At 36.2% G+C, this 26,632-nt stretch overlaps 1 protein-coding gene across 22 annotated transcripts in view, besides 1 other annotated feature; it reads right to left on the minus strand.

The window, feature by feature from the left end:
* Positions 1–26,632, minus strand: part of MEMO1 (mediator of cell motility 1) — a 143,186-nt gene that overhangs the window by 14,120 nt on the left and 102,434 nt on the right. For 10 of the 22 annotated variants that reach the window (NM_001371916.2, NM_001371914.2, XM_047444635.1 and 7 more), the window contains 2 exons: positions 10,050–10,192; positions 1,444–1,520 (listed from right to left, as the gene is read on the minus strand). The exons of 3 other annotated variants lie outside the window; for them this stretch is intronic. In NM_001371916.2, the coding sequence (NP_001358845.1) occupies positions 1,444–1,520; positions 10,050–10,192 (220 nt within the window). The remainder of the gene's footprint in view (positions 1–1,443; positions 1,521–10,049; positions 10,193–26,632) is intronic. 9 more of the 22 variants (XM_047444636.1, NM_001301852.4, NM_001371918.2 and 6 more) reach the window with 2 other exon arrangements.
* Positions 4,656–5,563: an enhancer, noted in NCBI's record as "NANOG hESC enhancer chr2:32111667-32112574 (GRCh37/hg19 assembly coordinates)". NCBI's record gives its function as "activates a minimal SCP1, AML or CMV promoter by ChIP-STARR-seq in primed H9 embryonic stem cells {active_cell/tissue: H9 hESC(primed)}" and the evidence as "EXISTENCE:reporter gene assay evidence [ECO:0000049][PMID:30033119]".

The following is a 26,632-nucleotide window of genomic DNA, read 5'->3' on the forward strand; positions in this document are numbered from 1 at the left end:
GAGACCAGCCTGGGCAACATGGTGAAACCCTGTCTTTACAAAAAATACAAAAATTAGATGGGCTTGGTGGTAGGCGCCTGTGTCCCAGCTACTCAGGAGGCTGAGGTGGGAGAATCGCTTGAGCCCGGGAAGTAGAGGCTACAGTAAGCCAAGATCACACCACTGCACGCCAGCCTGGGCCACAGAGTGAGACCTTCTCTCTAAATAAATAAATAAATAAATAAATATTAGTTGGGTATGGTGGCATGTGCCTATAGTCCCAGCTACTCAGGAGGCTAAGGCAGGAGATTGCTTAAGCCCAGGAATTCCAGGTTGCAGGGAGCTATGATGTGCCACTGCACTCCAGCCTCAGTAACGGAATGAGTCCCTGTCTCTTAAAAAAAGGAAAAAAGAAATATCTTAATATGCATGCTTAAGATCAATGGGAAATGCAAATCAAAACAAAAATGAAATTAGATATATAACAATCTGATTTACAGGATATTTTACAGAAATATATCAATGATGTGAGTTTATTATGTTTAAAATATTAATTCCACTGAATTTTAGATTTTGAGAGCTTCTAAAAATTTGAAGGAAAAAAAAAGTAGTTCCAAAATAAATATGCCTCTGTCAGGTCAAACTGCTGGTCCAAGGAAATAATAAAAATAAATTAACAAAACAAAACAAACATGCCTGAAATTTTAAATTTTAAAATAAAGTATATGTATAAATCCCTTCAGCATAGCAGACAAGATTCAAGTTAGCTACATTTTGTGTATATTGGAATTCCTGCACACTGTCATCATAAGGCTATGATGTCTTTTATTTCCAGAGGTAAAGGGGCAATAATTTAAAAAATAAAGACTTTCAGTCTAAAATTTTCAGGTTATTTACTTCAAGTTTACATATAATTCCTCCAACAGAATACAGATTTTTATTAGCTAATTCATAAAATCTTCATCATCACTTAAGAACAGTAATTTGGTCTGCTATCAAAACTAAAAATATACTAAGTTATTTAATAAATTTTAAAAAACAACAATGCTGTTCAGAAGGAGTCAAAAGAAGGACTCAAAAAAAAATATTTCAGGTAGTCGTGAAACAAACAGGAATTAGAGTCAAGGTATCCCATCATCTGCTATGGTTATTACTGCTTAACAGTAAATAATGGTATTAGTATCTTACTGTTCCTAAAGCTAAAGTACTTCTCTAGAAAGTATTTTAAATCCGTATATATTATTCTTAAATATTCTCATTAATCAAACAAAATTATGATGACGGAAATTCCTACTAGAATAGGGATTATTCTTATAGTCAGTATTTATATGATGACACATTGCATTTTGTACATTTAAAGATAGGGAAAAAATATATTATTTCAACATGTTAAGTCTTGAATTACTAATCTGAAATTAAAGAAAAAGCCTTAGAGCATTAAAATCCCACACCTGAAAGACTTACCATTTTATCTAGATGTTCAATGGATCTATAAATCTCCCCCTGGGATTCATCATAGTAACTGTAACGGAACCTTTGACCTTGAAACAAATATCATGTACAAAATAAAATAGGGAAAAATTAGAAGCTAAAAAGAAAGCAAGCGCTTACCAAATAATTTCAGTTCTCATGAAAGGCAAAGCACAGCTTAAGCCTCTGAGAGAATCATTCCCAAGAGCCCTTGTACATAAAAATAAAAGGCACATTTGGGAAGGTAATAAAGAAATGATATCACCAATGTTTTATGATGTTAAGAACTGTTTCAAATTGTAGAAACCTTAAAATCACCAGAAATACAAGATTAAGGAAACAAAATAGCTTAAAAGTTAGAAGCATTGTTAAACATTTTATCAGTCTATATTGGAAAGTAAACCCAAAGAATATTACTTAAGAATATTTGGTTTAAGAAAACTATCTTGGTATAACAAATCACTAAAAGCCTTAGCTTTTGCTGTACAAAGTTTTGATCTCTATTACGGGGGAAAAAAAAAAAAACCATGAGGTCGCAAATACTGTGACTTGTGTGACTTTTATGAAGTAAATTTTTTAAAAATTATCTCATTTTTGCACAACTTGGAAAAGGATCAATACAAGTGCCTTATGCAACGTGAACAGAATACACAAAAGGGTAAATATAATATAAATATAATAAATATTCCTACCCTGACATAAAATCTCAATAAGATTATAAGCATAGAACATTCAATGTTTTGGCTATTCTCCAAAGAATAGAGAAGGTAAAATGAAAGAAGCTTAAAGAGAAAACAGAAAACAAAAGTCTCAGAAAATAAATTCTGTTTCCTACTAGTTACATGAAAATCAAGTTAAAAATTTTCTTAACTAATTATGGGGAGTATTACTCAACTGACTGCAACGTATTTCAGATACACCTAAATCTTTTAGCAGTGCCTTTTTTCTAAGAACTCATTACTTTTGTATTTCCTTAATGTTAAAGATTGACCAAAATGCATTTCTAAAGGAATTAGACCATACAAATCATGTACACACATCATGTGTCTTGTGCTTCACGTTCAGAGCAATGTTGATATATCCAGTTACCACCCTCACACCTGAAGACATGGAACTCTTCGGCTAGATAATTAAGATTTTTAAGTTTTCTGTTCATCTTACTAAAAAAATTATGTAAATGATGGGCAGTGCAAAATTATAAAACCCTCTTTGATGTCCTTTTCTGAAAAACCACACATCATAGAACTGAAACACTTCATTCATTTGTTGATACTGATCACCTTTGATGGTCACCTTTCTAAAATATGTCATATTTCCTTAATGTTCACATTTTAACTTTTCGTATACAGTAACATAATTACTCAATGTAGCAGTCCTTATTCTCTCCCAAGAGCCATTATTCACTCAATATTGCATCTTATAACTTAACTGATGATATCCTAGAATTGGGCAACAGGGACTGAAACAATATCTGCTTCCTGAATAAAACAATAAAGATTACTGCATGTTACCTTAGCTATGAGATCAACTATAGTCTTTGAACTAAAAAAAAAATTCTTAAAACAATGATAATTTATTGTTCAATGCCTCTATATTGATAATTCATTAAACATTTCTTTTAAAATTTAGAGTAAGGTATAGCTTTATTTTTCTGTAAAGAATGTATATATTAATACTTCATACATAACAATGAGAATTATCTAATAACTATATAATTGACACTATTTTTCTTTTTTTCTTTTTTTTAAGATGGAGTCTCACCCTGTTGCCCAGGCTAGAGTGCAGTGGTGCAATCTCAGCTCACTGCAACCTCTGCCTCCCGGGTTCAAGTGATTCTCCTGCCTCAACCTCCCGAGTAGCTGGGACTACAGGCATGTGCCACCACATCCAGCTACTTTTTGTATCTTTAGTAAAGATGGGGTTTCACCATGTTGGCCAGGCTGGTCTCAAACTCCTGACCTAAAGTGATCCACCTGCCTTGGCCTCCCAAAGTGCTGGGATTACAGGCGTGAGCCACCACACCCAGCCTGACACTATTTTTCTCATTGCCAGGTGGCTGTGAGAAGGCTGCTCAGTGCCAAATCTAAAGTGCAGTTATAATAATTTATCGATTCAATTCATTTGATACTAAATTTTTACTTCTATTTCAAAGTTATTTTGACAAAGCTGTCCAAAATCTTTCTGAAACAAATGAACACCTTAGACAAGAATATTCTGACTCACTCTCACTATAAGAACAATATTCTTGGAGGAAATCAAGGTAGTATACACCTCAATTCTTTGAACCTGAACTGCTTTAGGTTTACACTAATACATTCTCTTTTCCCTGCTTCTGGAAATAGCTGTTAGTTTTGGCTACTATCAGTAAGCCCTGAAACTGGGACATAATCTACTGCTACTCCCAGGTTCAGAGAAAAACGCATATACTACATGATAGTCGTTTGCTACTCAAAAGTCTTTTCTGCTTAATTCCAAGTAAAGAGTTGCTGTTCCAAATGGCTGAAGTTGGTCAACCCAGACTTAACAGTAAGTGAAAAGTCTATACTTTAAATTGCTATCTTGTTCATATGGACCATTTTCTATGTAACTTTCACTTTTTAAAAACTGCTTCTGAAGGAAAAAAAGAGGAAATGTTTGAAATACTTTAAAATACTGGATCGGCATGGGATTTAATGAGAATGCAAAAATGCACAGAGAGCCAATGGCAGTAAATGCCATCTACTTTTTGTTACTCTTTAGTAGCCACCTCATATTTAGTAACTGAAAAACTGACTATAAATATTTGAAGGACTCTAAAGAATGTTTCGATTAAGTAGCTAAATCCACACTACATATAGCTACTACACTGAATAAATATTTTAGTTGCAACAGCTCAAATCGTCTCATGGTAATTTTTAAAAATTATACAAATATTTAAAAATCACTTGAGCAATGTATTCTGGTCAATATACATACAGAAGGCATCTAATTTGAAGTAAATAGTTGTCATCATCATAGCCTATATGTATGTGTGTATTTACGTATGTCTGCATACACACACACAACTTTAGTCAATCATCATTTAGAAACTGAGTTTAAAATACCACTTTTTGGTTTTTATTATTTTAAAAGTGTCTCAAAATTTTATTTAATAATAAAGAAAATTATAGCACAAGTACAATAAACTGATCATAAATACACCTTTAACTAAAAATGTATTATTGACTTAAAATAAATTATATGTATCTCAAGAGCAAATATATTTTATTTTTATAAGTTTTTGTGTTTCTGACATTCAGTAAAGGTTATGAATCTAAACTATAAACAAATACAATTGCCCATGTACCTGGAGAACTGGACTTTTGTACTTTTTAAGTATGAATAAAGCGTATCACATAGTAAGAGAAAATTACTTACCTGAAACTTATCCTTTCAGAAGGTACACTGGGAAAATGGATTCTTTGAGCCCCTGTTTCAACTCCAAGTATGAGCTTTCTAGCTTTAAGAGCCATTGACACTGCCCCTAGGGGCAGCACAAGCTTTGGAACTCCCCTAGTGAGTATGTCAGTAGTTTCTTCAGGTGCCTTCCCTCAGTTCTTTTCAAATTCAAAAGATGAGAGGAAAAATAACCCAAGAAAAAAATCCTGTAAAGCAGAAACCTTACTCTTTGAGGGAAGGAGGGTAGCTCATTTGTGAATCCATTCCAGAGCACGCTTTCTGAGAAAAAGAAATACAGGTAAGTAATTTTCCCATCTCCAAAGGTGACTGGTGATTAATGAGTGGATTCACAGAGTGTGGAGAATAAGCTCCAGGGATGTCTGTTTAACACACAACAATCAACTAATGAGGACAAACATAACAATGAATGGTACAAGAACCAATGCTACTTTTTAAGTACCTTAAAACAAAAGGTAAAAGAACAGTAAATACCTCAACATTAAGCTATGCACTGAACTGCAAAAATAAATAATGACCTTGGAAAGTTGATCTATAAAGCCCCCAAAAGATCAGTCAATAAGATAGATTTTCAGATACATAAAATAAAAATTATACTGTCACACATTTACTTAATCACATCGTTTATATGCTAAGCCACTTTCAAATATTTAAGTTAAACCTCACAACAACCTTGTGAGATAAATTATTAGGCCATTCTATACTAAGGACCCAACCTGGGGACATTCATAATTGAAATCACTACCAAAGAAAAAATGTATTTCATAAAGGAAATATTATGTAAGTAGCATCAAATAAGGTAATCTCTTTTAAAAGCTAAATACGATCATGCTTTCAATCTGAAGTGCTAATGTATAAGTATTAGCCTTATCTCAAATCTGCAAAAAGTCAAAAACTAAATATGTAAAATCTGCATGTACAAATATTTGAGAAGACAAATATGATGGCTTGGTTAAGGTACATTTTAAGAATTAGCTAACTTACACTCAAACCTATTTAACTATTTAGAAAATAGCAACAGCCTTATACCCAAGAGACTGACAGAAAGGAAGAGTATGCATGAATAATCACATTAATATACAGTAAAGAAGAAATCTGAATGTTATCAATTTCATAAATATTTAGGGGAATGCCACTTTTAATAAGTGGTATGTATTTATAAAAAGGTAGTTATGTAAACCAAAACAAATATAAATGTATGCATAAAAATTCAAAATTGCTGAAAAGACTACAGTAAACTTCTCATATTTAAAAAAATATATGTCATAAATATTCACCAAGTAAACTTATCTAAACTGATTTGTAAAACCACCATAAAAGGCAAATCAAATAAAGCATGAAGTCCACTTTTACTTTTTGTTTATTTTTTGTTAGAGATGAGGTCTCACTTGTTCTCCAGGCTAGATTCAAGTAATCCTCCTGCCTCAGCCTCCCACATAGCTAGGACTATAGGCACAAACTACCATACCCGGTTCATAACTCCACTTTTGAAAAATATATTTTCACTAAATCCAATTTCATTTAGAAACTTCTTAGAAGTGAAAATTACGTTAATGAAAGCTGCCAACAATCTAAATTTAGAAATATAAATTTCAGGAAGGTCAGGAAAACACAAATATCAATCACATATATGAAGAAGGCCAAAACTGAAACTTGAGAAAACAGAATGAAAATTCTACTAACTGAAAAAATTAAAATAGGTCCAGACAAAATTCTCTCATACGGAGCCATCCTATAGGATATAGAACTTAATAAGCACAAAAAGTATTGGAACAATTTATTTAACCATGGTAAAGCACACAGACTAGTGGCAAATGTCTTTTCACTTAATCTACTTCCTGCTAGTAACAGAAAGGATGAAATGAGGTGAAACTATTTTAAGTGTTGCCTGAGAAATATAATCTGGCATTTCTATATGTACAAGACTGGTGATGCAATAAAAGGCAGGAACTGAAATGCAGGGTTTCTTTTTGGGGAACTCAAATGAGGGGATTGAAAGAAGGGGGATAATGGAATCTAGGTTCCTGTCTCTCCCTTGGCTTAACTCAACTAGAAAGAAAACTTGAGAGTACTTCAGTACGTCTACCTTTATTTCTCTAATGTCTCTTTTCAAGTCTAAATAAAAGCTACAAGGCATCTGAAAGATGAACATCTTTAAAGTAAAATAAATTTAAGAAAATAAATCATGTTTATAAAGAACACTGGCTAACAAATAAGGTCAACAAGAAAAATCTTTCCAATTTACAGATAAAAATCTGGAATATCTCTATCACCAAGGTTTTCACTTCACTTTCTGCAAAAGGTAGGCACAATATAGAGAGAACCAATGACTAGAAATGAACAGTGTAGTCACTGCCAGTAATCTAATAATCAAAACAAAGAAACTTCCACTGTGTGTAGCTGAGTAATTTTTCAAGTGTACTGCAATAATTTTTTTCCCCAAAAAATTCAGGTATTTATAGTGTGTTAAGAGGAAACTCAATGAACCATTTAAGACCTCTGCATGCATGAGGAACTGAATCCCTCCTGTGAAATTTAGAAGTCAGTGTTATGATTGCTTCTATATAATAAAAATCAAGCTGTATAGTATCTCTTTAAAAAGAAAGAAAAACCATTAAGTATTATCTTCATGAGAAAAAGCTGAATTTTTGAGATGATAATATGGCACACTTACTAATTTAGGAAAGATACCCATCGCCACTACAATATGAATGTGAGAAACATGAAACTTAATTCTTTAGATAGCTTAACCCATAACTGGTCAATAATTCATAATACTTTAGTCAGCATGCAAAAGAGAAAATGTATCTCACTTTACAAGAATTACTGTGGTAGTGAAAAGACTATCAATTTTGGAATATTATCTATGTTACACCTTTCACTTATCCCCAGAACCCCAACATATTTCTCAATAAGTAGTAGCACGGTGCTTTCCATAAGTACAAAGAAAACATTTAATGAGTATTATTAATGATGATGATACTAAAAAATGAACACTTGAAAAGTTCTACTACTTAAACACCAAACATAAATCTAAAAAATGTTTTAGTCTCTGGATAATTCTTATAACTATTATTTATGAGTCTTTAAAATTTTTGAGCTCTTTTTTGTAACTATCACCTGGAAATCCTATCTTACAATTTAGATACCAAAATTTCCAAGAAATCAGGAGACAAAACAACCTCAATAATTTTCTAAGAATCTAGGTAGAAGGTAAAACAAATTTATGTTTCTCTCTCAGCCACTGTAGTTACATATAGCAGTGGACTAGGCTTTGGTTACTTTAGAATTCTTTATTAATGAGGTAAAAAGGATGATTCCACAGAAAAGAGCAATATTGAAATGTTTACTGACGTTTTATGTGAATTTATGTTACAGTTGCACAGGTTGCCAACCTAGAGAGAAAGCCCAGGTTCTAAAAAATAATATCAAGGGAACTAATTATGTAAATCAAGTGATTAATAAGAGCCTTAAAAATGAAGGAGGTGTGGGACACTTGCTTCAAGAATTTTAATTTTCAAAACATACAGACATGCTTTGTTACCAACACAAATTCACAATATTAAGGAAAATATGCTGTTTTGCAGTAATGATACTTAAGTTTTCAAGGTCACTTATTACATTTCAAAATTCCACAGAAAGGCACTCCTTTTAAGCATCTACCTAGCCTTCAGATCTAAGTAGTATACTTATATCCATAAAATGTAACTTCTGCCAAAGGTAGCAAACCAGCTAACCAATAAAATCAGTAATTAAAGAACCCTGAATATTAAAAACAGATTTAAAAAAAGAAGAAGAACCCTGAGAGCTTCTCTGGGGGGTTGGAAAGGAAGTGCAACTACCTGCATATCCTAAAAATCTGGGTTTCCCAACCTCAGCACTGCTGACATTTTGGGCCTGGTAATTCTCTGATGTGGGAGCCATCCTGTGCCACTGCAGGATGTTTATTTAGCAGCTACCCTGGACTCTACTCATTAGATACCATTAGTATTGCCACCCTCCAAACCATATCCCAGTTGTGGTGATCAAAACTGTCTTCAGGAATTATCAAATGCCCCTGAGAGTAAAATCACTCCAGTTGAGGCTAAGTACCTTATGCAAAAAACTAATCTGTACCATTACAAAAGATAGTTCTCTTGAACTGAGATCTCAACTTTGAAAAGGCCATTCAGAGATAGAAGCAAGAGAAGACACCAGCCCAAGCAGGCCAGATAAATGTTGAATCAATTCTGGCAATCAGTGGGTAAGACACATAAAATGCCATGGCTCCCTATATTTCACTAAGGATGTTCTCCTGGCTATTCTAGCGTTGTATCTTAAAAATTATGGTCTTACATTTTAGGTTTCCTTATAATCAAAGAAATAAGTGATAAATGAACAGATATTGGCATCTTAAACCAATAAATTAATAGGTCAAAGAGATGTCCTAAAACGAACAAAACTTAGAAATATTCTGGGACAGTAATGGATAAAGGAAAGCAAACTGCATCCAAAGACTGTAGAAGCAACGTTTACTAAAAGAGGCATCCACAAACAGCTCACTTCTCTTACAACGTACTCACTGTGACGTGTCCTTGCTCTTACAATAATCAAAAAATCACTCAAGAGTCCTTACCCTTATAAAAACATTACCAATGATGACCACAGTGCTTAATAGCCAATATTTTATAATCTTTGGAGGGTAGCTTTAAACTGATGGCAATTGTGAGTAAAAACTAAGCACCAAAGGGGAAAAAAAAAAAAGACTAATTACAAAAAAGGAAATGTGGAAAAGGACTGGCACAGCACACAGTGCTCTTCTATACTCTAAAGAACATTGGATTTATCCACCAAAACTAACTTCAGAGAATCTACCATACACACCTACTTGGAAATGAGGTTAAAAGATCTTAACTCCCACTAAATAAGTGTCTAAACAAGGATGCCTTCACAGTGTGAATCCAATTATACCAGTCGCCTTTGGAAATGTACCCATAATCCACTATTGTAATCTGATCCTTTTTAAAGGATCAAAAGATTTTTTATTCACTTTTAAACACTGCTGCCAGAAGTAAAACTTTCCAAGGAAAGTGATAAAAAACTGAAAATCAGAGCTTAGAATGAAAAGATACCTTTAACCAGAAGTATATAACATCTACCATGATATGTTAAAATCTAGAACTTACCCCAATGGCAGAAATCAGAAGAAACCACAAAGAGATTACTAGGATCCGCTAGATATTTACTGAAGAGTTTTCCGAATTCCTGTTCTTTTGACTCACTCAGAGCTCCAACCAGTACAGGAATAATGGTAAACTCATCCTTATGGCTTAAAGAAAACAGAAAAAAAAAAAATGTCATTTAAGATGCTTAAATGAAAGTTTTCCAAATGTGTTGGCATTAGAAAGTGGAATATGTATTAATAGTGGTAAGGATAACATATGTAATTATTATTGATGAATTCTTAAAATCCATAAATTAAATGTTTAAAGGGTACAAGGGTACGATTAAAAATATGAGTCATACAGAATACTAAAAATATCCATTTAAACTACAGAAATATATACTACCTCTTTAGGTAAAAAAAGCTATTTTACTACCAGGTATAATAACATCTCAAAAAATAAAAACAAGCCCATCAGAAGAGCACCAATTCAATTCTTTTCAAGTACTTATCAAGGCTACAGTCATCTGCCAAATCCTTCTGTGATTATAAAAGACCATTAAACTCTTCCTCACCTATTTTAATCCTATCCTATTATAAAAACCATCATTTCTGGCACTTGCTCTATAAACCTGCCAAGTGAGACCTAAAAACTTAATCTTGGCTCCCGTAAGTTTTATCAACTGCACTTTTACACTTATCCTAATGATCAGATACAAGACAGTCTGAAATACAACTCAAATTTCATTGGCATCTAGAATAGACAAAGAATTAAAGGAAGTAAGTTTTAATTTCTAGCAGCAGAAAAAGACACCACACCCACCCACAATGTTTATGGCATATCCACAAGTCCCTTTTTCACTCTACAGATTGACAGATTTATGGAAAAGAAACAAAGTAGATTAATAAAGAATAACTATGATGAGCTATAGAAACAGATGTTCATTCAAAACCTTTTTTAAAAATGTTATTGTGAAATTTTACTTATATATATTCAATATTATTTATATTCTAAATGATCCCAGATTTGGTATTTTAGAAGCATGAATCATGTTTGTCTGATTTGTTCTCAACAGGACCTTTTTAAAAAAATCACCATTATAATAAATGCTTTTTAATATGATAATCTGGCACTTAACTGATGTAGGACAAACAAAATTCACAAAAGTTTTTAAAAATACTAAGTTTAAATAATCCCCAAATAAATGTTAGCCCAGCTGCATAAAGCTAAATTTAGGGCACCCAAGCACCTCCCCCATAAGGCCCCCTTACCCTGTCAATTGCGAAATAAACAGATCATACAGATCTCCAGTCCCTCTGCAATGCAGGGGCTTCTTGGGCAGAATCTGCATCTATGGAGTAAGAGAAAAAAAGGAAGCTGGCAGAGGAAGCTGCCACAGGATCTCTTTCTCTAACTGTTACCAGTTTGCTAAATAACTCCCTGACTGAATAGGGGCTCTTCAATTAGTTAAGACTGATTGTCAATTGAAAGAAAAGAATTAATTATTCTAACCTCAACTACTACCTACATAAAAAAATACATTAAGATAATCAAAGTGTCTGTGAGTAATTATGATATGATTGGGAAACAGTTATACAGAGTATAAAGAACAAGGAGAAACCAGAAGAAATGGGTTCAAGTGCCATCCCCACCACATACAAATGTTCAGAGCATAGGTAAGTTCCCGAATTGTAAATATATTTCCGTATCTGTAAAATGATCATAATTACAATACTTACTTCATAAAATTGTTATGAAGTGAAGAACACTATAGGAAAGGTACTTCGTCACAAGAGTTGGCTCACTCTGAATAAACAACACATGTCTACTCTCCACAAGAGCCATTAATCCCTTCAATTAACCTCAGTTTGAGCTTACAAATCTATCTGTAAGGAGGTATAAAATTCTATCCTCTGTAGAAACCTAGGACTTGAATCGAGGCTCATTTATCCACCCCTCTGTCATCTCTCTTTTAAAAAATTACTTGTTCTCTATCTCCACAGACAAATACTCATGAATTAGAGAAAAGAGCATTTAGCTTTGAAATGTAATACTACTAGGATTTAAAATCCAAGTTCTGAAGTTGAACTTCCAGTGAAGGAATACAAAATCTCACCCCCAAAAAGCAATTATAAAACTAGATAAAAGCGTCAAAAACAACCATCTTTGTGTTATGGAAATCAACTAAAGGCAAAAACAAACAAGCAAACAAACAAAAACAATGAGAAGAGCATGTTCATGAAAAACTACAGAACTTCTTGGTAACAACAATGGAAACCTGGCATCTTACCAGGAGCTGCCTCCATCCCCTACCCTAGCTCCACTGAGGTATAAGTTCCATCAAGGAACAGCACCTTCATTGCAAAAAGGGGATGACTTTGACTTGGAGCAGAGAGTGGAAAACCCACACTCAGTAGGAAACAGAAAAGCCTGCAGATTTCTTAGTCCGAGATTGCTGTTGTTGGGGTGAGCCAGAAACCTGAGGACTAACTAGAAATTTAATAGACAGATCCTAGAAATGGCACAGCCATAGAGAGACTTGATAAATTTTCCACACATCCTGAAGAGAGACCTATGCCCTCCACACAACACTGGCTGACTAGGAGGCTGCACGCATGTACAGGGGACTCCCATAAGGTCCTAAGCTCCACACAAAACGCAGGCTGAGAGACTGGCAGCGTATGCACAGGGGAAGCTGGAAACCTGAGAGACCTAGCTCTCCACACACGCCTGGCTAACAGAAAATTTGGGTACGTGCACAGGGTCTTAGGTCTAAGACAACATAATAAAAAGTAAAAGAAACAAACATGAAAACAGACTATACTTAGTTGATTCTTTCTTTTAATGAGAAATGGGGTCTCACTATGCTGCCCAGGCTAGCTTCAAACTCTGAGCCCAAGTGATCCTCCCTTCACAGCCTCCATACAATCTCCCAGCAGAGGGTGAAAGTCTTTCTGGCTCAAGGTGTTTAGGTACAGCCTTCAACCAATAATTAGCTAAGCACTAAATTAAGGAATTGCAGGTGGGAACCCTACAAAGCCAAGCTTAAAATTAAAAATTAAGAAGTTTTAAAAGCTGGGGAGACACATAAGTGACCACACATAGTGGGAGAGACAGATTCTGCAGTTGAAGTTCATGAAAGTTCCTAATAAATAAATAAATACAACCTGCAAGGGAAAAAATGAGTAAAAACCGAATCCAAAGTTACTATAACATACTACACAAAATGTCCAGTTCCAAAAGAAATTATAAGTCATGCAAAGAAACAGCAAACTATGACCCATATTCGGCGGGAAAAATAAGCAGCCAGCAGAAGTTGTATCTGAGTAAGAGCAGATATTGGATTTAGCAGACAAAAACTTCAAAGGAGTTATTATATATTCAAAGAACTACAGGAAGCCATGCTCAAAGTTATGATGATATAACTAAATAGGGAATATCAACAAAGAAATAAATGCAAACTATTAAAAAGAACCAAGTGGAAATTTTAGAGTTGAATAGTAACCGAAATAAAAAATTCAAATGAGTTCACCAGATGGTCTGAAGAGCAGATTTGATATTATATAGGAAACAGTCTGTGAAATTACAGATAAAGAAATTAACCAATCAGAACAGAGAAAAAGAACAGAGCATTGGAGACTTGTAAACAACATCAAGCATACCAGCATGTATATAATGGGAACTTCAGAAAGGGAACAGTAAAAATATTACAAGAAATAACTGCTGAAAACATTCCAAATCTCATGAAAAAACATTAACCTACAGATCTAAGAAATTCAACAAATCCAAAGTATGATAAGCACAAAGAGATCCTCACCCAGATACTTCATAATCAAACAGCTGAAAACAAAACACAAGAAAAAAATCTTTTTTTTTTTTTTTTTTTTTTTTTGAGACGGAGTCTCGCTGTCGCCCAGGCTGGAGTGCAGTGGCGAGATCTCAGCTCACTGTAGGCTCCGCCCCCCGGGGTTCACACCACTCTCCTGCCTCAGCCTCCCGAGTAGCTGGGACTACAGGCGCCCGCCACCTCGCCCAGCTAATTTTTTGTATTTTTAGTAGAGACGGGGTTTCACCGTGTTAGCCAGGATGGTCTCGATCTCCTGACCTCGTGATCCGCCCGCCTCAGCCTCCCAAAGTGCTGGGATTACAGGCGTGAGCCACCGTGCCTGGCAAGAAAAAAATCGTGAAAGCAGCGAGAAGAAAATAACTTCTAACATATAGGAGAGTTTTTAACAAATAGTACTAGGACAACTGCATATCCATACACCAAAATAAAAATAAAAATAATAATGAACTTGTCTCTTTGCTTCACACCATATGCAAAACTTAATTAAAATTGGATCCTAGAACTATAAGAGCTAAAACTGTAACACTTCTAGAACAGGGGTTAGCAAACATTTTTTGAAAGGGGCCATTAAGTATTTCAAGTTTTCTGGGCAGTACAGTATAGCAACTGCTCAACAGTTCAGGTAGAGAAAAAGCAGGCATAGACAATATGTAAATACAAAAGTATGGCTATGTTTAAATAAAACTTTATTTACAAAAGTAGGCTGTGGGCCAGATGGGGTTCACAGGCTAAAATTTGCTGACTCTTGTTCAAGAACGAAACAAAGGAAAAAATTTCTATGACCTTGGAGGAGGCAAAGTTTTCTTAAATTTGATACCAGAAACAGAATCTATACAAGAAAAAAAGTTGATAACTGAATTTAACAAAATGAAAAACTTCTGCTCTTCATTAAGAAAATGAAAACTCAAGTCATACATTAGGAGAAGATATTTGTAAATCATATATCTAATAAGGAATTTGTCTCCATAAATACTCTTATAACTCAATAAAACAACAAATTACCAAAATAAAAATTGGGCAAAAATGTATGAATAGATATTTCACAAAAGAAGATATACAAATGGATAATCAGCACATAAAAATTGCTCAACAGTTTGTAGTTCTCCTTGAAGATGTCCTTCACATCCCTCGTAAGTTGGATTCCTAAGTATTTTATTCTCTTTGTAGCAATTGTGAATGGGAGTTCACTCATGATTTGGCTGTTTGTCTACTATTGGTGTATAGGAATGCTTGTGATTTTTGCACACTGATTTTGTATCCTGAGACTTCACTGAAGTTGCTTATCAGCTTAAGGAGATTTTAGGCTGAGACAATGGGATTTTCTAAATATACAATCATGTCATCTGCAAACAGAGACAATTTGACTTCCTCTCTTCCTATTTGAATACAGTTTATTTCTTTCTCTTGCCTTATTGCACTGGACAGAATTTCCAATACTATGTTGAATAGGAGTGGTGAGAGGAGACACACTTGTGCTGGTTTTCAAAGGGAATGTTTCCAGCTTTTGCCCATGCAGTATGATACTGACTGTGGGTCTGTCATAAATAGCTCTTATTATTATGAGATACATTCCATCAATATCTAGTTTATTGAGAGATTTTAGCATGAAGCGGTATTGAATTTTATCAAAGGCCTTTTCTGCATGTATTGAGACAATCATGTGGTTTTTGTCATTGGTTCTATTTATATGATGGATTACATTTATCGATTTGTATATGTTGAACCAGCCTTGCATTCCAGGGATGAAGCCAAATTGATCTTGATGGATATGCGTTTTGATGTGCTGCTGGATTTGGTTTGCCAGTATTTTATTGCAGATTTTTGCACTGATATTCATCAGGGATATTGGCCTGAAATTTTCTTTTTTTGTTGTGTCTCTGCCAGGTTTTAGTATCAGGATGATGCTGTCCTCATAAAACGAGTTAGGGAGGAACCCCTCTTTTTCCATTATTTGGAAAAGTTTCAGAAGGAATGGTACCAGCTCCTCTTTGTACCTCTGGTAGAATTCAGCTATGAATGCATCTGGTCCTGGGCTTTTTGGTTGGTAGGCTATTAATTACTCCCTCAATTTTAGAACTGGTTATTGGTCTTTTCAGGGATTTGACTTCTTCCTGGTTTAGTCTTGGGAGGGTGTATGTGTCCAGGAATTTATCCATTTCTTCTAAATTTTCTAGTTTATTTGCATAGAGGTGTTTATAGTATTCCCTGTGGCAGTTTGTATTTCTGTGGGATCAGTGGTGATATCCTCTTTATCATTTTTTACTGTGTCTCTTTGATTCTTCTCTCTTTTCTTCTTTATTAGTCTGGCTAGTGGTCTATCTGTTTCGTTAATCTTTTGAAAAAACCAGCTCCTGGATTCAATGATTTTTTTGAAGGGTTTTTCGTGTCTCTATCTCCTTCAGTTCTACTCTGATCTTAGTTATTTCTTGTCTTCTGCTAGCTTTTGAATTTGTTTCCTCTTGCTTCTCTAGTTCTTTTAATTGTGAGGTTAGGGTGTCGATTTTAGATCTCTCCCTCTTTCTCCTGTGGGCATTTAGTGCTATAAATTTCCCTCTAAACACTACTTTAGCTGTGTCCCAGAGATTCTGGTACATTGTGACTTTGTTCTCATTGGTTTCAAAGAACTTCTTTATTTCTGCCTTAATTTCGTAATTTACCCAGTAGTCATGCAGGAGTGGGTTGTTCAGTTTCCATGTAGTTGTGCGGTTTTGAGTGAGTTTCTTAATCCTGAGTTCTAATTTGATTGCACTGTGATCTGAGAGACTGTTATGATTTCTGTTGTTTTGCAGTTGCTGAGGAGTGTTTTACTTCCAATTATGTGGTCAATTTTAGAATGAGTGCAATGTGCTGCTGAGAAGAAGGCATATTCTGTTGATTTGGGGTAGAGAGTTCCCCAGATGTCTATTAGGTCTGCGTGGTCCAGAGCTGAGTTCAAGTCCTGAATATCCTTGTTAATTTTCTGTCTCACTGATCTGTCTAATATTGATAATGGGGCGGTAAGTCTCCGGCTATTATTGTGTGGGAGTCTAAGTCTCTTTGTAGTTCTCTAAGAACTTGCTTTATGAATCTGGGTGCTCCTGTATTGGGTGCAAATATATTTAGGACAGTTAGCTCTTCTTGTTGCATTGATCCCTTTACCATTATGTAATGGCCTTCTTTGTCTTTTCTCATATTTGTTGGTTTAAAGTCTGTTTTATCAGAGACAAGGGAATAAGAGAGAACACAAACAAATGGAAAAACATCCCACGCTCATGGATAGGAAGAATTAATATAGTGAAAACAGCCCACCGCCCAAAGTAAGTTATAGATTCAATGCTATTCCCATCAAGCTACCATTGACTTTCTTCACAGAATTAGAAAAAACTACTTTAAATTTCATATGGAACCATAAAAGAGCCCATATAGCCAAGACAATCCTAAGTAAAAAGAACAAAGCTGGAAGCATCATGCTACCTGATTTCAAACTATACTACAAGGCTACAGTAACCAAAACAGCATGGTACTGGTACCAAAACAGATATATAGACCAATGGAACAGAACAGAGGCCTCAGAAATAATGCCACACACCTACAACCATCTGATCTTTGAAAAACCTGACAAAAACAAGCAATGGGGAAATGATTCCCTATTTAATAAATGGTGTTGGGAAAACTGGCTAGCTATATGCAGAAAACTGAAACTGGACCCCTTCCTTACACCTTATACAAAAATTAACTTAAATGGATTAAAAACTTAAACGTAAGACCTAAAACCATAAAAACTCTAGAAGAAAACCTAGGCTATACCATTCAGGACATATGCATGGGCAAAGTCTTCATGACTAAAACACCAAAAGCAATAGCAATAGAAGCCAAAATTGACAAATGAGATCTAATTAAACTAAAGAGCTTCTTCACGGCAAAAGAAACTACCATCAGAGTGAACAGGCAACCTACAGAATGGGAGAAACTTTTGCAATCTATCCATCTGACAAAGGGCTAATATCTAGAATCTACGAAGAACTTAAACAAATTTACAAGAAAAAAACAACCCCATCAAAAAGTAGGCTAAAGATATGAACAGACGCTTCTCAAAAGAAGACATTTATGTAGCCAACAAATATATGAAAAGAAGCTCATCATCACTGGTCATTAGAGAAATGCAAATCAAAACCACAGTGTGATACCATCTCACACCAGTTAGAATGGCAATCATTAAAAAGTCAGCAAACAACAGATGCTAGAGAGGATGTGGAGAAACAGGAAAGCTTTTACACTGTTGATGGGAATGTAAATTAGTTCAACCATTGCGGAAGACAGTGTGGCGATTCCTCAAGGATCTAGAACTAGAAATACCATTTGACCCAGCAATCCCATTACTGGGTATATACCCAAAGGATTATAAATCATTCTATTATAAAGACACATGCACACATATGTTTATTGTAGCACTGTTCACAGCAGCAAAGACTTGGAACCAACCCAAATGTCCATCAATGATAGACTGGATTAAGAAAATGAGGCACCTATATACCATGGAATACTATGCAGCCATAAAAAAGGATTAGTTCATGTCCTTTGCAGGGACATGGATGAAGCCGGAAACCATCATTGTCAGCAAACTAACACAGGAACAGAAAACCAAACACTGCATGTTCTCACTCATTAACTGGGGCTTTAACAGTGAGAACATATGGACACAGGGAGGGAAACATCACACACCGGGGCCTGTTGGGGAGTGGGGGACTAGGGGAGGGATAGCATTAGAAGAGATATCTAATGTAGATGATGGGCTGATGGGTGCAGCAAACCACCATGGCACGTGTATAACTATGTAACAAACCTGCACGTTCTGCACTGTATCCCAGAACTTAAAGTACAATAATTTAAAAAAAAAAAAAGTTGCTCAACATCATTAGTCATTAAGGAGATGCAAATTAACAGCATAATGAGATTACACTAAATGTCTATCAGAATGGCTATAATCAAAAATACTGACAATAACAGATATTGGCCAGGATGTAAAGAAACTGCAAGCCTCATGCACTATTCCTAAAATATAAAATGGTACAGTCACTTTGGAAAACACTTTGGTAGTTTCTGAAAGAATTAAAATATAGGCTTATCATATGACCCAACAGTTTCCTTTGACATAAAAATGTGTACAAGAATTTTTATACCATTATTCATAATAGCCAAAAACTGGAAATGTTCAATAGTTTATCAACCGGTAAATGGACAAAATGTGGTATATTCATATAATGGAATAATTATTTGGCAATAAAAAAGAATGAGCTGGGCGTGGTGGCTCATGCCTATAACCCTAACACTCTGGGAAGCCAAGATGGGCAGATCACTTTGAGCTCAGGAGTTCGAGACCAACCTGACCAACATGGCGAAACCCTGTCTCTACTAAAAACACAAAAATTAGCCGGGTGTGGTGGCACACGCTTGTCGTCCCAGCTACTTGGGAGGCGGAGGCAGAAGAATCGCTTGAACCTGGGAGGTGGAGGTTGCAGTGAGCCAAGATCACGCCACTGCACTCCAGCCTGAGCGAAAGAGTGAGACTCTGTCTCACAAAAAAAAAAAAAAAAAAAAAAAAAAAGAATTAACTACCAAGACATGCGACAACAGGGATGAATCTCAAAAACAGTATCCTAAGTGAAAAATAGACTACATTTTGTACAATTCCATTTATATGAAATTTCCACAAAATGCAAATCTAGAAACAGAAAGCAAATCAGTGGTTGTCTGAGACTGAGAGTAAGAACAAGGATTGACCTCAAATGAACACCAGGTTTCTTTTTAGGGTGATGAAAACATGTTCTGGCCAGGCATGGTGGCTCACGCCTGTAATCTCAACACTTTGGGAGGCTGAGGCGGGCAGATTGCCTGAGGTCAGGACTTTGGGACCAGTCTGGCCAACATGGTGAAACCCCGTCTCTACTAAAAATACAAAAAAATTAGCTGGGCGTGGTGGCGTGCACCTGTAATCCCAGTTACTCAGGAGGCGGAGGCAGGGGAATTGCTTGAACCAGGAAGGTAGAGGTTGCAGTGAGCCAAGATTACACCACTGCACTCCAGCCTGGGTGACAGAGCAAGACTTCATCTCAAAAAAAAAAAAAGTTCTAAAACTAGATTGTGAGAATATTTACACAACTCTGTAGATTTACTAAAAAAAAACATTGAGTTGAGACCTGGTGCTGTAGCAGATGCTTGTAAGTCCCAGCTACTCGGGAAGCTGAGGTGGGAGGATACTTTGAGCCCAGGAGTTCAGGAGTTCAACTCCAGCCTGGACAACATAGCAAGACCCCTAATCTTAAAAACAAATTTTTTTAGACCAGGTGTGCTGGCTCACACCTGTAATCCCAGCACTTTGGGAGGCAGAGGAGGGCGGATCACTTAAGGCCAGGAGTTAGAGACCAGCCTGGCTCACATGGTGAAACCCCACCTCTACTAAAAATAGTGATGTGCACCTGTAATCCCAGCTACTAAGGAGGCTGAGGCACGAGAATCATTTGAACCTGGGAGGTGGAGGTTGCGCTGAGCCGAGATCATGCCACTGCACTCCAGCGTAGGCAACAGAGCAAGACTCTGCCTCAAAAAAAAAAAAGTTAAATCATTGAACTCTTACATGAGTGAATTTTAGTGTATAAATCATACCTCAATAAAGCTGTTGCAGAAGAAAAAAAAGAAAATCCATCCCTGCCACTCACAAGCTGCTACCTACAGCAGATTACTATCCTAAGCCTCAATTTTGCCATCTGAAAAAAACAGAAAAAACAGTTAATAATACCTCACCAGGTTCTTGCTAATTCTTTAGTAACACAGAGGAATCTTTTAGCCCTTCTTTTTTTGTCTTATAGCTTAAACCATGCTGCAGGAAATGTATCAATCCAAGATAAAAGAGCTGAAATCCAAGAACCTCCCCCTCACATTTTGTTTGTTTGTTTGTTTTGTTTTTTTTTGTTTAGACACAGGATCTTGCTCTGTCACCCAGGCTGGAGTGCATTGGTGCCATCACAGCTCACTGCAGCCTCAAACTCCTGGAGCCCCTCACTTTAAAACAAAAACAGAAACACTGTATTACCAATGCTCTTACTAAAACAGACTATGAAAATTCTAAATTCTAATTCTAACATAAAAAGATGAATTCTAATAAAAAAATACACGCGATAAGAAAACATTATAATTTAATTGAAAGTGGTTTATTAATTTGTGGTATATAAATAATTAAAATCTTAAAATTTTAAATTTGTTTAAATATTAACAAATTTATGAAATATACAAATTAAATATTTACATATTTATGAAATATACAAATACTTATTTGCTTAATCTTCCCCTGCCATTAATTTGAACATTTCTCCTCTGTATAACATTGACGAATATGCAAATTTTCCTTCCTATACAAATTCTTCCAGTTTCCTAATGAGTCTAGAAGCAGTCCCAGTATCTTAAGATGTGAGGAGAATTAAACCAACTGTAACAACAACTACAGTTAGCCAGTCAGAAGGGACAGGATCCTTACCCCTAAGGTGCCAAGGTTGTTGTCATAGTAATACCACTGTGATTTATTCTCCTCTCCCCTTTCAGTTTGAAAATACTCACAGAAAAAAACAGGGGGGTGGGGGGGGACAAAAAGTTATGTGGGTAAATATAAAAAATCTTTACGCTGATAAAATATATTCTAATCTTCTCAAATGTCTTTTGCTACCTCCTCTTTAGGCTTTTCGTGGTCATAGAAACTGAAACTATTCCATTACCACCAACAAAGAATGATTTGCTATTATTCTGGAGCTCACTCATGTTCTATACGTCTTAAAAATGCTCTTGCTGATAGGAGATATGGTAATACTCAAAGGGAATCAACATACAGAAAAAGAGGAAACTGAGAAACATAAAGTTACATTTGCTCTAAAAACCTCAGTAAATGCTCTAAAACCAAAAATAAAAAAATTTAACTGTAAGACATATGCAGAAATATACAAATAACTGTAAATATAAAAGTCACAGAAAAAGAAAACATTTGAAAAATGCCACTGCTCTGTGACTGTCATTAAACTGGGCAGAGGAAGAGAATCTCTGGCTTCTTTTTATTCTACGTCCAGAGAGAAGCCATTCCATTCCTTAAAGACTACCTATATAAAAGCACATCTACTTTTCTCTATTTCTAACATTTGAAGACCTTCATTGAGGCCACAATCAGAAAGGAAAGTAAAAATCTTAAGATCCAGTGAAACCTAAGCTATAATAAAGGTTAAGATGGCATTTCAGAGAGTCAAAAATACAGAATGGCAATATGGTAGCCTGTAACTGGGAAAGAGGCATAGGAGCTTTACCTGAGAGTTAACATAGCTAGGCCTGATGCTACAATCTTTAGAAGGGCCTGTTTGTAAGACTGGTCCTTGGTTAGCATCTGTGAATTTGGTTTTTAGAATATTACTTATGTTGATAAGGCTGTTTTACCCACTTGGGACACTGAATTCTGCTATACCAGCTTGCTGAGATTGTTTGTAAACAATGTGATTACATACAGTAAACACTTTCCTTCTGAGAGCCTGGAATTTTGGTAGCTGTGGCTAGCTACACAGGCAGAATGCCTACATGACCAGTCCCCAATAAAAATCCTGGATTTTAAATGTTAAAGCAGCCTTCTTTGGGCAGAAATACTATGTACTTTCTATGCAGCCCACCTCCACATAAGGGAGAACAGTACACACCTGTAACTGGATTCTAGAGCACGCAACCTAGATCCCTCACATGTGCAGTTCACAATAGGGTTCACACTCCTATGACAACCTAATGCTGCCACTGATCTCACAGGAGGCGGAACTCAGGTGGGTAATGCTCGCTGGCCCACCGTTCGCATCCTGTTGCACAGTCCAGTTCCTAACAGGCCACGGACCAGCTGAGGACCCCTGCTCTAGAGAATCGCCAAATGTGAGGGTGGTCATGAAAGTTTCAAACAGGTGTTAAAGGCAAAGTGATATAAAAGAATCATCACTGCAGTTTTAAAGAGTCCTATAAGGAAGAACTCTCATCTTTTTCTCTTGATCAAATTCACTTTCAGACCAAAGAGACATGCATATAGAATTTAAGCAGAATACTGTGATTCATGTAAGAAAAAATAAACTACAGAGATCCAGAAAACAGGCTGGGCGCAATGGCTCATGCCTGTAATCCCAGCACTTCGGGAGGCCAAGGTGGGCAGATTCCTTGAGCCCAGGAGTTCAAGAAAAGCCTGGGCAACATGGTGAAACCCCATCTCTACAAAAAATATAAAAATTGGCCAGGGGTGGGGGTGCACACCTGCAGTCCCAGCTATTTGGGAGGCTGAGGTGGGAGGATCGCTTGAGCCTGGGAGGTGGAGGCTGTGGTGAGCTGTAAGCATGCCACTGGACTCCAGCCTGGGTAACAGAGTGAAATCCTATCTCCAAAAAAGAAACAAAAAAAGATCCAGAAAACATCAGAGGCAAAGAACTGGGGAAAAAAGTAGAGGATAGGGGAAGAAGAAGGGTAAGCTAGCTGTCAATGACTGAACTAAAATTAACATTTAAGTCATTATAAATCTTTACTGTTTGATCAGTTAAATGAATGCAATGAGATTCCCAAAATTAATTTTTAAATCTTTCCAAATTTCCATTTAAATAGGCATGATGATAAGAAAGTTTTTCTAAGAAAGGGCATACTTCAGGTACTAGAGAGCCATTCTAAACTCTATTTTTAAAACTCAACCATTTGAAGCTACTATGAAGCAACACAATCTTATAAACTGGCCAAGTTTGCTGTCAGAATCATAGAGAAATTCCTGCATGTTTTTAAAAACAAGTCAACATTTCCATACCCTACATTCTCTTAAACTTACACTCTTTTCTGGCTTTACCATTTCTGATAATGGCAATATTATAAGGCCTTGAACTTCATATTCTCTTCAATTCATCTTAACTGTCTCACATAGGAACATTTCTATCTGCATAGAATTCTGTGTAGAATCCTCATGATTCTAACCCTTAAACATCTCCCACATCTGTTCAGTTTGTTACCCCACCTGTCACTGCCTTGGTTCAAAGCCCCCATGATTTTTTTACTACACTATTTCTATTTATTTCTTCCAACTCCAATCCATCCTTCATATTGCCATCACACCATCAAGGAGAGCTATTCTTTTTTTCTTTATTTTTTTTTTTTGAGACGGAGTCTCACTCACACTGTCGCCTGGGCTGGAGTGCAATGGCGCAATCTCGGGCACTGCAACCTCTGCCTCCTGGGTTCACACAATTCTCCTGCCTCAGCCTCCCGAGTAGCTGGGATACAGGCACACACCCACACCTGGCTAATTTTTTTGTATCTTTAGTAGAGATGGGGTTTTACTATGTTGGCCAGACTTGTCTCGAACTCCTGACCTCGTGATCCACCCGCCTCAACCTCCCAAAGTGCTGGGATTACCGGCGTGAGCCACCGCACCCGGCCAAGGAGTGCTATTCTTTTGTTTTTGTTTTTGTTTTTTTTGTTTGTTTGTTTGTTTTTGTTTTTGTTTTTTTTGAGATAGAGTCTCGCCCTGTCGCCCAGGCTGGAGTGCAATGGCGCAATCTTGGCTCACTGCAACCTCCGCCTCCCAAGTTCAAGCGATTCTCCTTTCTCAACCTCCCAAGTAGCTTGGATTACAGGCACACGCCACCAAGCCTGGCTAATTTTTTGTATCTTTAGTACAGATGGGGTTTCACCATGTTGGCCAGGATGGTCTTGAACTCCTGACCTCATGATCCGCCCACCTTGGCCTCCCAAAGTGCTGAGATTACAGGTGTTAGCCATCGCACCCAGCCTAGGAGTGCTATTCTTCTTCAGTCCCAATCATCACTCCTTCCTTTGCTAAGAACTTTTATTAGCTCTGTACCAGTCACAGAATAAAATACAAGTATTTTACAACGGCATTCAATTCCCTCCATAATCTGGTTCCAATCTATTTTCCAGTTCTCTAATTCTGCCCCTCTTATACTGTATCTCTATAAGTCAGCTACTCAAATGCCTCCAGCCCCAGGGTGGTGTTACGTATGTGTGAAAAGGTAGACAAGGTGTAAGATAATAGGGAATGGTAGGACCAATATCTAGCTATAAATATCTGTATAAAAAAATTTTTTTCTAACTATGCAACCCAGACAAAAAACATCTACAAACAGATCTCAGTTACTAGCCAAGCCTTTTACAACTCCTGCAAGTTAAGCCAAATAGTTTCCTGCTATTAAAAATAAGCTCTGGGCTTTCCTACTACTAAATACTTTGTGTGTACATAACTCCCTTTCTCATTAAAACCTTATGCCTAATCCCATGAAAACTGCAGGCACCTTCAAAATCCATTCAAATGCCACCCCCTTAATGAAGCCCTTTCTGTGCTTCCCTAACTCAACTATTACCTCTTTCCTCCCAAATCCCTACTCTCTGCTCCTGTAACTCTTTAATTATACTTAGTACATTTTGAATTATATTATAATCATTTATATTCATTTCTTATCTCTTCTACAAGGCTACAAGATGAGAAAACAAATAGGGTGTTTCCTTATTTTTGTATTCTCCATCCTTAAACATAGATTAGTACAATTAGGTACATCTACTATATTTGAAAAATTCAATTTAACCAAAATTTTAAAAATCTTAAAATGTTGACAGTAAATGTTATCTTAAAAACAACCCAATTTTTATAAAACATAACTAGTAAGTCCGGGCACAGTGGCTCACACCTGTAATCCCAGCACTTCAGGAGGCTGAGGCAGGCAGATCACTTGAGCCCAGGAGTTCAAGATCAGCCTGGGCAACATGGCGAAACCCCCTCTACAAAAAATACAAAAATTAGCCAGGTGTGGTGTTGTGCATCTGTGTTCCCAGCTATTTGGAACGCTGAGGTAGGAAGATCACTTGAGCACGGGAGGTGGAAGTTGTGGTGAACCGAGATCACATCACTGTACTCCAGCAGGAGCAAGACCGTGTCTTAAACACACACACACACACACACACACACACACACACATACACACAACTAGTACAACTAGCAAAACAGAAAAGATGAAAAATTACCATTTGGAAGCCAAAATGAGTTTCATTAACTTATTTATTTACTCCCACATATAAAATGCATTATTCTTAATCTGTGGTTAAGAGAGACATCAGAAAAGAGTCTCTTATTCTGTGTATTCTTCAGAAGGTGGTAAAGTTAAATGGTAAAAAAAATTCTTTTTACAACCACCACAAAATAGCAAATTTTAAATAGTGAAATTAGAGCTATAAACTGGTATAATTCCTTTACATGGTACTTGGGTCATTCAATAATTCATTTAGAGGAGTTTTCTTTAAAAAAATGAAAGAAGCTCAGATTTGTAAATGTCTACCTTTTTTTCCTAAACATTCTTGACCCTTGACCCTCTCTTCCTAACTCCAGTCCTACCCACACAGTGCTTAAAGTGACTGTCTACAGAATGCACTGAATCTTCCTTAAGAATGAAAACAGGTAGTGATATAAACAGGTGCTAGTTAAGATTTCAGGAAACTTCAGACTTCCTCCCATATGGTGAGAGTAAAAAAAACAATGAAAGAGATTTCCAGTTTCTAACCTAACATGTAAAGATTTTAGAAGGTATTACTCTTATCCTGACAGGAAAAAAAAAACGTGAATTAAAAACCAATAACTCTTATCAGATCTATCTGAGAATTGAGGTGACAGAGCAAACCAATGCCCCAAAAACTGGAAGTATGGACAGAATCAGAGAATCCTAAACCACCCTTG

This window comes from Homo sapiens, chromosome 2 (genome assembly GCF_000001405.40).
Source record: "Homo sapiens chromosome 2, GRCh38.p14 Primary Assembly".
NCBI lineage: Eukaryota > Metazoa > Chordata > Mammalia > Primates > Hominidae > Homo > Homo sapiens.